Genomic DNA, 14,341 nt, shown 5'->3' with positions numbered 1-14,341 from the left:
TCATGGCTGCATAGTATTCCGTGGTATGTATGTACCACATTTTCTACCAACAATAGACAAGCAGAGAGCCAAAATCATGAATGAACTTCCATTCACAATTGTTACAAAGAGAATTTCTTTTTTTAATAACCAAAAAGCAATAGTCTAAACATAGCTTTGATAAGCCCAAATAGCTTGTTTACATTTGCCAAATTCCGCTTTTTAATGTGCGTGGGTAATCCATGAATCAACTGGTTTACTTAATAATCTACTTGTCAACAACACTAGAACCACAGTATGTGTAACAGTATTCGAGAGTGATTGTGTTTAGTATACATGAGCGGTTGTATTTAAAAAGAGCTTGCCTTCTAATTAGTGTGGTAGCCCCTACAAAATAGTCCTTTTGGCTTTTAAGAATGTTTAATATAGAGCATACGTTGATAGTTATTGATATAGATCTCATTCCTATGGCATTTACTCATTTCAGCCAGGCAATTGGGTCATTGAAAGGAGAGATGCAGGGTGCTAGACTGAAGTCCTGTCATAGGGGTTGGGTTCTGAGCTGTACTCAGGGGAAGATTAAAATTGGGACAGAAAAATGAGAGAAAGGAGGCAGAAAAGTTTTTTAAAAGTGGTCATGAGTTGGGCGTGGTGGCTAATGACTGTAATCCCAGTGTTTTGGGAAGCCCAGGTGGGCGGATCACCTGAGGTCAGGAGTTTGAGACCAGCCTGGCCAACATGGTGAAATCCCATCTCTACTAAAAATACGAAAATTAGCCGTGTGTGGTGGCACATGCCTGTAATCCCAGCTACTAGGGAGGCTGAGGTAGGAGAATCACCTGAACCCAGGAGGCGGAGGTAGCAGTGAGCTGAGATCATGCCACTGCACTCCAGACTGGGTGACAGAGTGACACCCTCCCTCAAAAAAAGGAAAAAAAAAAAAGAGAGAAAAAAGTGGTCATGGTCCCTGTGACACAAGAGGGTAAAAAGAAAGGTATAAATACACATGATAAATATAAAGAAAAAAATTAAGCAGCATTTTGATAATTGCTCTAAGCAGGGACAATTCTCACCTCATGAGTGTATCTTAGGAGATAGAGGCAACTTTAAAAATCACATATTTGAGAATGATGCCTTTAGGCAGAGAAAGGGCTGCATTTTCATCCACCTCCGGTGAGGTTGGGAGGAGCAGTTAGACCTCCTCCTCTTGTCCAGTGACAACTAAGCTACAAACCTAAGCAGCCATTAGAATGTATTGTGCTATTTCATTTTAGAAAGTAAAAATAGAAAAAAAAAACAAACCCATAGCATTGGAAATGGCCTGTTCTGTCGTGGGGGTGTTCCATGTCTGTGGACAGATTTCTTTGTTATTCATGCTCTTTCCTATAACAGAATGCACAAAACAATAAATGACCCTGGCTCAGTTTCCATTCTATTTCTACCACAGTTATTCCCCACAGAGTGTCTACTATCGATTTGCTTTCTCTCTGGAAGACAGTTTTTCTCCCTCTCTCTTCTTTCTTCCTTTCTCTCTCATGTCTGTTTCCCTTTGTCATCTTTTCCCAAATCATAGGGATTCTTGTGTTCTTTCCTACCTGCTTTTTGTTCTGTTTCTTCAGTGAAGCCGTTACCCAAGTAAGAACAGACTCATCATTAACAGACAAGGAATCCTGGAGGTCAGGTATTTACAATCGAACCACACAGGTGAGAGTGAGGTGTTTTCCCTGAAAGGACTTTTCCTTAGCAGTGATATTTATGTGGAACCGTCACACCCTCCCCTGCATTTTCAGTGTCTCTAGTCTAGATTTCCTCATTGGCTGTTTGAGGTTAAGAATGCATATGGATTTAACTCAATACATTCTAAGAAAAGTTTGAGTGCTCCTAGAAAGGGGAAGGGGAGTTAGCTAAAGATCTTAAGGGTTAATGTTACCAAAGGCTGCGTTCCCTGCATTCATGCAGTGACTCATTCCGAGGATAGGCTTGCAGAAAGAATAACAATGATAGAACAAAAACAGTGGTAACAGCTATTATATATCATAGTGAAAGCCTACTTGATGCCAAACACTTTACAAACATTATCTCTAATGATTACAACTGTACTACTGGTGAGTGTTATTATCTCAGTTTGGAAATAAAAATCTTGGCTCAGAGAGGTTCAATAACAGTCCCTGGATTACCCAGGTAGGAAGTGGTTTAGTTTGGAATTATATGCAAGCTCTTCTTGACCAAAGTACTCTTTGCTTTGCATTTTACTATTCTGGGAGGATTTTGGAGGGGGATTTGCTTCAGGGAGCCCTTGCAGAGAATGGAAGGAGCCATTCTGCCATTTGGATGACCATAGATATTGAAGGACACATCTATTATTAACACTGGATCTTTGTAAAGTTAGGTTTGTATCCTGCAATCCCAAATCATAAGATCTTTATCATTTTCTGTTTTTTTTTTTTACAAAGAACTTTGAAACCAAATGTTTCTGGGCAAAGGACAATAGAAATGGTAGTATAGTGGTTAGAGCATGGACTCTGAAGGCAAGCCAGCTCAGTTCTTCATTCCAGCTCTGCAGCTACTGGTGGTGTTACCAGGGCAAGTTGCTTACCAATTCTGTGCGTCAGTTTCCTCTTTGTATAATAAGCATTAGAACAGTACTTATTTCCAGGTTATTGAGAGAATACAGTAAGTTAATATATGCAAAGCTCTTAGACAGTGTACATCATGCACATAGAAAGTGCAGTATTAGCTATTATTTTATGTTATTTTTATTTATAGCAATTGACATTTAAAAATACATAAGAGTAGAATAAAATTATGATTGGGGACTTCAATACAATAGAAATCAAACAACTTTCATGATGATTCAAAAAGATATTCTGTTTTTTATGCATCAGATATAGTTGATCAAATTAAAATGAAGTTAGGAACTCAGTGTAAATTGATTTACTGTGCAGTAAAGTTGTTGTTGTAGAATCTGTTACTTAAACAAGGCCCCAGATTGGAGCTTTGCGAAGTGGGGTGAGGAATGACCTAAGAGGCAGCACAGTAAACAACTGTAGAAACCATAGATCCAAGAGTTGTAGAACCCGGATAAAATGTAAATTTCAAAGGAGAGGCAACTCTCCTATTGTTAACTTCTCTTTAGATTGCTTTGAGCTAATGCTTAGTGTTAATGCCTGGCAAATTCCAAACAGGGAAAAACATAGGGACTTATCTTTCATATTATATATGATTAAAATTAAACTTGATTTGTCCATTAAGCAGTGCAGTAACAGGTTTTCTGACTTTTCATAAGGCATTAGAGAAATGATGCATATCAAGAAGACGTTCTTTTTCAAAAGGACACTAATCAATGCTGAGAACATTTGCTATAAATTATTCACATTTGTTATAAACTATTCCATCCTTTTAAAAATTAACGGTACATAACCTATAATCTAGGAGCAAAAGTAGAGCTGCCTCACCTTGGAAAGTTTGATTATGAGGGGCTGATTACAGTAAGGGAACAAATAGGATCCTGAGATTGGAGCTCAGTGTCTTATGAGGAAGAAATCACTGAGCACCCGTACATCTGATAAAATGTGATCTCTACTCCTTGTTGTGTGTTCTTTCACCACACATTAATATTTCATGCAACCATTTCAAAATAAAGTCATAATGTGGGTCATAAATCACAAAACCGTGGCAATAAACCACTTTGGTTTATATTAGCTGTATACAGATGATACTTAAGCATTTCCACCATTAGCATGGACTATTTGAGCTTTCTGTACACCACATTTGCTCTGTTTCTTCCATTTTAAGTGGTAGGAATATGGGAAACAATGCTAAATCCATTCATTAGTGATAGAACTATGCTATTTGTTCTCATAATTGATTTCATTTCAACTTGGACCTGTGAAAATGATAGCACAGTTGAAAATGACAATATTATTGACCTTGTTTTAGCAAAGAACATGCCTTTTCCAGTGAGTCCTGCTGAGGAGTAAAGGAAGACCAGGGAAAAATAAAATATTGAAAGAAAAAATAGAACAGTGCATTGAAGATGAGAATTAATGTATAAATATGGTTTATGCTCATTAGTGAATGGCTTATTCCTTACAGATGCTCCTGAAATGATGCCATTATAATGTATAATTTTGGTCTTCTTCTCTTTTAGTTTTTTTCTAGTGGGATCTGTTCCACTTACTGCTCAGTATTAATGAAATGGTTACTATAATTATTATAATTCATACTAGGTAAAGAGGCTGGATAAGGTTATAGCTGAAAAATGCCTATCTATATTTCTCTCTATATATATATATTTTTATTTAAGTTCTGGGATACATGTGCAGAACATGCACGTTTGTTACATAGGTATACACGTGCCATGGTGGTTTGCTGCACCTATCGACTTGTCATCTACATTAGGTATTTCTTCTAATGCTATCCCTCCCCTAGCCCCCCACCCCCCAACATGCCCCAGTGTGTGACGTTCCCCTCCCTGTGTCCATGTGTTCTTATTGTTCAACTCCCACTTATGAATGAGAACATGTGGTGTTTGATTTTCTGTTCTTGTGTTAGTTTGCTAAGAATGATGGTTTCCAGCTTCATCCTTGTCCCTGCAAAGGACATTAACTCATCCTTTTTTACGGCTGCATAGTATTCCACAGTGTATGTGTGCTTAAGAGAGTTGGAGTCTCACTTTGTCAAACAGTGGCACGATCATAGCTCACTGCAGTCTCATGCTCCTGGGTTCAGGCTATTCTCCTGCCCTAGCCCTCAAGTACCTGGGACTATATCTAATTCTTGATGTGAATAAAAAGCCCATGCATTGAAGGCATCCTGAATTTATAAAAACCAAGCTCCCACCAATTAGACAAACTGACCAAAACATAAACACATACATATATTAGAGGCTTGTAAATATTTAAAGATGCTGCTGCTAGTAGTTTCTTGTGCTTAAACCACACGGCATAATCTTCAGGACAAGGGCACTGTTTGTGAACAGTTGGGTTGGTTCATGGCTCTTCAGCCCTTGACTTGGAAAGCTTGAATGAGGTTAGCATTCAATGCCCTGGATGGATGCTCATGGTTTCTGTCAGATGCCAGGTCTGCAAAGGAGCCAACCCTGTTTCCTCATCTATCAAAAACAGCAAATAGGTATAGTCGTTGGATTGGGAGATGGTTGGGGTAATTAAGAAAATGTATACAAAAGCACATTGAAAAATTAGAACATTAGAACCCTTTATGAGTAAAAATGTATTTTTTTGGTTCATCAAATAATGTATTAATTTATTAAAAAGTTGATTGATGAAGGATTGAAAAGTACCCTGAGGGGTTGCATGGGTTCTGTATTTGAGATAAGTGGGCTAGGATTCTGAAAACCTGGAAAGCACATGTTGAGTCTGTGGAGGACAATGACTGCTCAGTCATTCTCTGGGAATGTGGTCGCTGTTGTCAGGCCATCAGGTTTTTTTTTTTTTTTTTGAGACGGAGTCTCACTCTGTCGCCCAGGCTGGAGTGCAGTGGCGCGATCTCGGCTCACTGCAAGCTCCGCCTCCCGGGTTCACGCCATTCTCCTGCCTCAGCCTCCCGAGTAGCTGGGACTACAGGCGCCCGCCACCACGCCCGGCTAATTTTTTGTATTTTTAGTAGAGGCGGGGTTTCACTGTGTTAGCCAGGATGGTCTCGATCTCCTGACCTCATGATCCGCCCGCCTCTGCCTCCCAAAGTGCTGGGATTACAGGCGTGAGCCACCGCGCCCGGCCAGGCCATCAGGTTTTTAAGGGTGGCAGTCAAAAATCCACTGAAAAAAATAAGGCTGCGTATGCTAAATAAAACACATTTACCAGTCTGATTTATTCTGCCAGCTATGAGTCCAAGACTTTTGTGTTGATATCAAGACAGAAACTTGAACATCAGCATCGATATTGCCTTTCATAAAAAGAATGCATACGATGTTTTAGGTTTTCTAATGAAACTTTACTGTACTTTTGAAAGTACTCAGATATTTTTCTGCCCTCTAACATCTCCAGGAGACCCTACATTTTAGTTGAACAAAGATTTTCTTAAAAGAAGAATTAGATAGAAGGTGATATAAAGAAGCAATGTGTCTGAATTTTCAGGGAATGCAAACTTAAAAAAGTGCATATACAGTCAGCTTTCCATATTTGTGGGTTCTGTATCCATGGATTCAATCAACTGAAGATCAAAAATATTTAGAAAAAATGACGTAGTAAAAAATAATTAAAAATTTAAATATATAGTATAACAAGTATTTACATAGCATTTACATTGTATTAGGCATTACAAGTAATCTAGAGATGATTTAAAGTGAAGTCGTGTACCCCATAATGACTTTTTGATCAACAACTGACTGCATGTATAAAGGTGGTCCCTTAAGATTATGTTATCTTATTTTTTCTGTACTTTATCTATGTTTAGGTATGCTTAGATGCCCAAATACTTAAGCATTTTCCTACAGTTGCCTACAGCATTCAGTACAGTAGCATGCTGTACAGGTTTGTAGCTTAGGAGCAATAGGCTGTACCATCCAACTTAGTTGTGTGGTAGGCTATACCATCTAGGTTTGTGTAAGTACAGTGTGATGTTCATCCATTGACAAAACCAACTAACGATAAATCCCTCAGAAGCATCCCAGTTGTTAAGTAACACTTGACTGCATAGAAGATGTGTGTAGGTTATATGCAAATACTGTGCCATTTTGTATAAGGGATTTGAGCATTTGCAGATAATCCTCAGGGTCCTGGAACCAATCCCATATGGATACTGAGGGGTGACTGTACTTGGTGTCTTATAAAAGCTAAGGTAAGAACAGACCAAAAGAAGGTAAACCCAGCTGAGCATTTCTGCAGTTCTGGAGCAGCGAAGGGTTACTACCATGCAGCACAATTTAGTGCATGCCATTTGCTTTTATGGAGGGCAGAAGATTGCTGAGTATTAGGTCACTGTGGCCAAGAATAAAGCTGAGCTTTGACCTCAGAAAGGAATTTGGTCTTGATTTCAAGAAGGCATTTAAAACAATAACCCAACACTTTGGAGTACCTAAATGGATGGTGGAAACTGCTAGAAAACCACAGGTAGTGTTTGCTCAAAAAGAAAGTGGTGGGAGGTGTGTGAAGGTAAGGGAAGAGAGAGGAGCCCCGAAGCCGCTGGAAGGGCACACAAGTGCTCCAGAATTGCAATACTTATAACGATGAGGGACCTGTGAGAGGAGGAGGGTGACAACGGGAAAAGGTTGCGGCGAGAGAAGAACATGTTAAAAGATTCATGCGTGCAAAGCCTTGGGAGGATGTCCATATCGTGTCAAGGTAACACCGTCATTCTTTGAGAGAAAGGATTCAGAGAGGCAGCCGACTTCCCAACACGGACATCCCTTTCTTGTACCTATTTAATGGCTGCTATCCATTTCCATCCCATTGCTGGACCCCCCTGGCCCCATTAACTCTGCAGGGAAAGAAGAGAAAATGCCCTAGACAAGTCGGATGCCCTCCTGGCTGCACGGCAGTCCAGGTTTAAGATGCATCATTGAAGTTTGGGGTGGGTCCCATCTGTACCTTCGGAATGCCATGCTTCCCCTTGCCAGCACCCCGATCCCCATGGCAGAGAGGGCATTTCCCTGAGAGCACAGACTGGTGGATGAAGGCAGGGAGTGGTTACCTGTCTCTGTCTCTCACTTGTCCCCTTGTGTTGTCCATGTCACTCAGTCTGGCCATGCAGGATGTGGCTAATTGCTCACTGGTCTCCTGCAGGGGCCCACCCATTTTGAGTCTCACACTGCTATTCATTTTTAAATTATTTCTCCCCTGAAATAAACTGAGACACAATTCCATGTCATAATAGAGACAAGAAGGAGTCCTCACTTCTTTTGACATAGAACAATATCTAGTCAGTTTCTGGGATTTTTTTTTAGCTGGACAGTGATATTGAAATGTGGGTTACCTTGGTTGCTTCCCATTGGAAGCTTGGCTTGTTGTGGTTTGCTTTCTAGTTATCAATGTAAGTAGCTCCAGGAATAATGAATACTCGTAAAAGTGCCTTTATGCTCATCTCCTCAGTAAAGAGTTGCTCTTTTCTTGAATTTAAATACAATTAGGCAAAGGATTTATCTTTTAGTGAGCATTTTTTAAAGTCCCATGTAATGGACAACATGAAGCAGCTTATTTAGTGTGGGTTTAGTGGGAGTACTGTCAATAGTTTTTCACCCACTGAAATGGAAACCTCATGTCTGTTGTATTTAGCTACCGAAAAACAATTTTAAGAAATGCATGTAATCCCTGGAGTATCTGAAGTCAGGTATTGCTGTTTCTTTTCTTATTTAAAATAATGTCCCTAATTTTCTGTCTTTAGCATGGGTGTCCTCATAATAGTGTTACTGGGATTTTAAAAATCTGAAGCCTGAATTCAAGTCTTTTTCCTAAGTTAATATAGGAAAAGGTCAAGGTCAAAGTCAAATTCAAGACATTTGTCTCCATTTCAAAGACAGAAAGACTAAGGTGACTTTTGACATAATTCACATCTCACAAAATTATACAATACATTGCAATTGCTTATTTATTAGATCAGGCCCTGGAACCAGTAACAAAGTTCTTTAAAAATGTAAACAGTGAGGTATTGATTAAATCAGCCACGAGTGCATGTTGACTCCACAAAAATGCCAGAGCTTCTTACAACTCAGATCAGCACAATCCGACTCCTTTTATCCTCACCTCCTTTTAAAATTGTTTAAGCAATGTTACCGCTTAATTGCTAACCCATCTGTAGCAGGAAACAATTATTCTGAATAAGCCCACGTACCACACTGGTTTTCCAGCAGATTATTTAAAAACAATATTTCCTTAAGATAACAATTTTGATAATGATGCAGGAAGGAAATATATTTGCAATTAAACGAACATGCTTTAGCACAACAAGCAATAAAAAGCTTAACACTGAGCCTTTGTGAATTAAATGCCTTAAATGCCGGAACAACATTGGACAAAAGTCATGGTTCTGCTGACACATTTATTTCTCAGTAAATGAAGACTGTTTAGGTTTAATGCACTTGTGGTTAGCAATAGTTTAAAAGATCAATGTAAATTCATTCTGAACTAGTAAATAAGGCTTTAATGAAACTTCTAACAGCATGCTCTCACACCTTAGTTCTCTTCATCATTTCGAGGTGACACAGCAGGATTTGCCTTGAGTTTGATGACACGCACACAATGTTATGAAGTGTTTGACAGATTTTATTCGATGTTTATTTGATTTATGGGGTTGATATCGGATTTCAGCATCTCCTTATCAGCCTTTGTTCACACTTAGCAGAGTGCTTATGAAGATAGTTTCTTCTAAATGTGCTTATTAATATAATATATATACTATTAATGAAAGGCAGTTTGGAACTGGGATCATTAAACATTTCCACTCTGCTAAATGAGGTAATGTATGAGAAAGCACTTTGCAAACTGTAAAGCCATATACAGATGTTAGTTATCATAATTATTGTTGTTACAGGAAACCCGGGTTTTATATATTATTATTCTGTTTTCCTTTAACACTTAATTCAAAGAATAAATACAGGCAACCAATTTCCTTAAAAACCTGCTACAGCTTTTTAAACAGTTCTGAACGTTTCATTAGGGTTTATTGTAAGCCATGCATGATGCTATTAATTTCGTTTAGGCTTAAAAACATCGACTGACATAATAAACATGACTCGTAACAAACTTTGCCAACATGAAACTTGCTTAAGAAGGTGCTTGGGAACCTTCACTTGGGCCTGGGAACCACGAAAGGAAGCACATCCAAAACTACTTCTGTGAGACGTCAAGATGCTGCCTGTTCCCTTTTCATTCTGACTGTTAATTTGCCTTTTCTGTCCTTCACAGATGATGAACTTCATGAGTTACTTTGTGGGGATGCAATGAAAGGGATTTTTTTTTTTCTTTTTCTCTCTGTTTCTTTTTTAATCTGATTGAGGAGAGATGTAGGGACTGGAAGACATTCACATGGCCATAAATAAAAGTCAAGATAAAATTGTTGAGGTGAAAACAAATGATTTCTTACATTAGAATTTGACTCTTACCTTAATCATGTGAGGAAAGCTTGGCAAATCTTATGAACGGTCAAAAAACTTACGCATGGAGATGGATGATCATGCTTTCTGTATAACACTCCTCTACGGTAAATCAAGAGTTCAGTTTACTGTTTATCATGTAAACCTCACAATATGATCATACTTGTTTTTCTTTTTCTTCTTGGTTTAAATATGTACTGAACACTAAAGAAATTACTAATGATTTATTTGATATTGAAACAAATGCAGCAAATATTTTAAATAAATAAAAGAACTCATTACCCGTTCTGGGGCTTGGGATGTACCAAATGCTCTTACTTGATATATAGCTAAGAATAAAACTTAAATGGTAAAAGGCAAATGAGTGGAAAGTACTTCTTTCCCTTGGTAATTCGTACCTTAAAAGTGTTTAAGATGTAAAGCTTGTTAGTAAAGAAATACTGTATCATGGCATATCCATTGGGAGGAGTACAATAAACATAGTTGTATGTGATTGGGAAGTAACAAAGCACAAATAACTCAGAAAAAAATACTACAGCAAAATAGGGGAGGCAATAACTAAACTATACAGTCTGGGAGCTCCAACACCAAGTTTTTCACAACTAAGGATTCAAAGGTAACTTGACTGTGGGGCCTATTAGCTCATTTAGTAAGTCCCAGAAGGTATTTCAATCCCAGAGAGCTGCCCAGAATTCTGGTGGGACAAGAAGGGCTTAATGTCATAAATATCAGTATACTGGCTCCATGTCAGTATTACTCTGGCCATATTGAAACAGTCCCTATTGTCTTAACTCATGTTAATATTTGAGGCTCCTTTTTCCATTCTAAGATTTCTTTTACATAATGAATGACTTTCTTGTAAGTTCTACAATTAAATTCATATAATTTTATAGCTTTTTAGTAACTCACTTTTATCTTTCATAGTGGCTACTATTTCTTGAGAGTTTACAATACGCTAGGCACAGGGCAATGTGCTTTAATTATGTTTATCTCATGTCACCTTCTGAATAATCCTATATAATCATCATTATTGTCCCCATTTTCAGGTGAGGTAATTGAGGTTAAGCAAGGTCAAAGTCAAGGTCACTCAGCTAAGTAGCGACGCAGCTGGGATTAATTTCAGTCTGTGTCCTGCGCTACTGCCTAGTTACTTAAATAAACTACATGACTATATATCAGATGCTTAACGAGAGATTTAGAATGGCCGATTGAATGAATTAGAAAAAAAGTCACACTGCTAAGTCATTCTGTGTCCATATGAAAGAAATCAAAGTAAAAATTATAAAGACAAGGAGGAGTAAAAATCAAAACCACATGAATGTGGTTGCTGGGTACATCGTCACTGGGAATGTTCTCTTTTGAAGTAAAGGAATATCAACTCTTAGGCCCTTCAGCGGCTTGATAATAACTTAAATGTCAATGAAATGTATTTATATTAAAAGTGATGTTAAATACCCTTGTTTCAGTTAGGACAGGTGACAGTACAGCCAGAACATCTCAGAGTAGAATATAAAACTTAACTTTTTTTCTTAAAAATTCTATTCAATAGACTTGCTTTTCTGGATTTCTAATAACAACATAGCAGACACTGAACAAAGGAAGATTGTTAATGAGTTAATTGTTGGTTAATTCAGTATTATATTTTTCTTGTTTGCCACATGAGGAATTATGTGTACTAGAGCTTGATTTTCTTATTCTTAAAATAATTTTTGAGCCAAAGTATCCCTTTGTCTCAAAAATTATTGTCAGAAACAGAATCATAAAAATAAGATTTTTTTTCCTATTAAAAACTTGAGAATACAGACAATTTTTAGAAAGAAAGATGAGAAATCCTAATTTGGATACAAATAATTTGACCTCTAACTCAGTGGTAATCAGCTCTGAGTTTGTGACACACTGAAGTGCACTGAGTTTTTTTGAAAGGAGGATGTGAACTTTCAACTCTTAAAATGTGTTTCAATTTGCTTCAAATTAAAAATAAGCATGTTCACAGTAAGGCGTTGAAACTGTAAAGTGTTGGCAACACTGGAAGTGTACATAACATCAAATGAAAGAAGGAAAGCAGAAGTTGAAAAGGAAAAAGGAAGTAATTTTATTAAAACTGACAATTATTTTATTTTTATTAAAAATAAAAGTAACCTTTTAACATGTGAAATATATGGAGAAGTGAATCTACTTACCAACTTAAAGCATTGATTGTACCAAACCAATTAAAGTTAAAGCTACTAAGTTTGTCATTTTGATCATAATGAGTCATTAGGGGAGCCTGGGAGTAACAATCCTATTTTGTAAAAACAGTTTTGCTTCATAAGAGAAAGAAAAAGTAGGTAAATGCAGATGTGAGTAAGCATCTAGTATGGAATCTCTATCTACATCTATTTTTAATCAATAGAAAACATTTCTATACTATATGGCTTTAAATATTCTTGAAAGATCCTGGTAACTGATTTATAGTTGCCAATTATAAGAATGATTTAAGGAGTTTACATGTATTTAATTTATAATTGAAACTAAATTGTTATTTCTCTCCATGCAGTATACATTTTTAGATGTTGGCTTTTGAACTGTATAGAATATTGCAAAGAACTTCCAAATTAATCATTTTTATTATTCCAAAATGCTGACCGTAAGTCATTACATTTCACCCTATTAATGTCAATGAATCTAAGTAAAGAAACAAGCAATAAACTATTGATAGTTGTGGAGATGCAGAGTTGCTGGTAACAATAACAAGTTAATAATGCCAGAAAACAATTGAGAGGTGTTTCTTGTGTTGTTTTGCAAACACTGGTCACATTTCCCCACAGAAGTACCAAAAAGAAATAGGATGAGGAAAGAGAAATAATTGTGCAGGCTGTTTCTAACAAGTTTTGGTTAAAGGCAAATAAAATCAATCTCAAATGCGAGTTACTGTAGTTGATTGAGGCGTTAAAGGAAGTAAGTTACAGGAGGCAGTTGTGTCCAGTTTGGAGTTGAAGTTAGCAGATCTTTGAAAAAAACTTTCTCTGATAACTAAGGTCAATTAATAATGACACATTTTCTAAATTTAGATTACTTTTCCATCTGCCTCAAAAGTGACATTTGTTTACAATAAAAACTTAAAACATCTTCCCAGAATAACAAAAAAAGTCATTTAAAAAATTCTGAATTAGCCTCTGACATGTACATTTTCTCCAATTTTAGATGTCTGGTCTTTTCCTGTTTCCATTTAAAGCCCAAATAATTGTTTTGCTCACTGCTTCCTTTGTTACTGAGCAGTGGCAAGAAAAGACAGAACTTGTTGAAGGAACTTGCTCTTCACTGTATTCCATGCACCCATTTATTCCCCATTGAAATATGTGCCGAGAGCCAGGAAACCCACAATATTTCTAAGCATGTTCTTGAAGCATGTGAGCTTTAATGAGTGTTAAGAGTACTTATGAACTTGCTGTTGCCTGCTGAGAAAACATTGTTTATATAGAATTGGCTTATTGCTAATGAGAGAATTTATTAAGGCATAGCACAGGCAAGGCATAATATGAACACTCTTTTTCTAAATATTTTCTTTCAGGTCTTTCTCGCTCCAGTTGATGATATTAAAGAAGGGTCAGACACGTCATCACTCACTCCTTTACTTACTGGAAAAAGCAAAAAGATTTTATTAAGATTAGAAAAATTTCCCCACCCCATTTGTCTCTTCCACACCAGTGTCTCAGCAATCGCCCCATTTGAACTGTGAGATGCTAAATAGCTCAGATGTTTTCCTCTTCCTGTAATAATCATGCATATGCCCAGCTTGGATGTCTCCCCTGCCTCATGAATTTGCAGAGTGGCCCCAGCTAGGCTCCTTCTTGTCGTGGGGACAATTGCCAAGGCTGATAGAGAAATAAATTGTGGAAAAGAGGGTTCACTTTATTTAACAGGGCTCCAATCCCTTTAGTGTCTGTAGTTTTGGGGCATGTGCCCTGAGCCCTCCAGCCTTGGTTCCTCTCTCTCACTTTACACTGTGTGCCCTGACCATTGGTTGGTCCTGAAACATGGCTTATGTGGCACTGGTATGCACCTTGTCGTCTACACAGCTGTAGAGCCCAGCTATCCCAAAATGGTGGTAGATGCTAGCAGGTGATGGGCAGGACTGATATCCCTTCTCCCATCTTTATTCGCTAGGATCCAAGTAAATTCTAGTGGGCAAGAGGAAGAGAAGAGAAACTACAACATCATTATCTTACTGCTGGAGGCAGCAGATTACGGACCCCTGACTGTGATGTGTCAAATGCACTGTGTGACAACCAAGACCCTACACATCTGGGGGGCACTTCAGGATTCCTCCAG

At 37.7% G+C, this 14,341-nt stretch overlaps 1 annotated feature.

Annotated features, from left to right (window-relative positions):
• Positions 1,697 to 2,252: an enhancer, noted in NCBI's record as "NANOG hESC enhancer chr21:36965152-36965707 (GRCh37/hg19 assembly coordinates)". NCBI's record gives its function as "activates a minimal SCP1, AML or CMV promoter by ChIP-STARR-seq in naive H9 embryonic stem cells {active_cell/tissue: H9 hESC(naive)}" and the evidence as "EXISTENCE:reporter gene assay evidence [ECO:0000049][PMID:30033119]".

The sequence above is a fragment of the Homo sapiens genome, chromosome 21 (assembly GCF_000001405.40).
Source record: "Homo sapiens chromosome 21, GRCh38.p14 Primary Assembly".
Taxonomy (NCBI): domain Eukaryota; kingdom Metazoa; phylum Chordata; class Mammalia; order Primates; family Hominidae; genus Homo; species Homo sapiens.
Note: the sequence above shows the minus strand (reverse complement) of the source record. Positions and strands in the feature narration are given on the sequence as shown.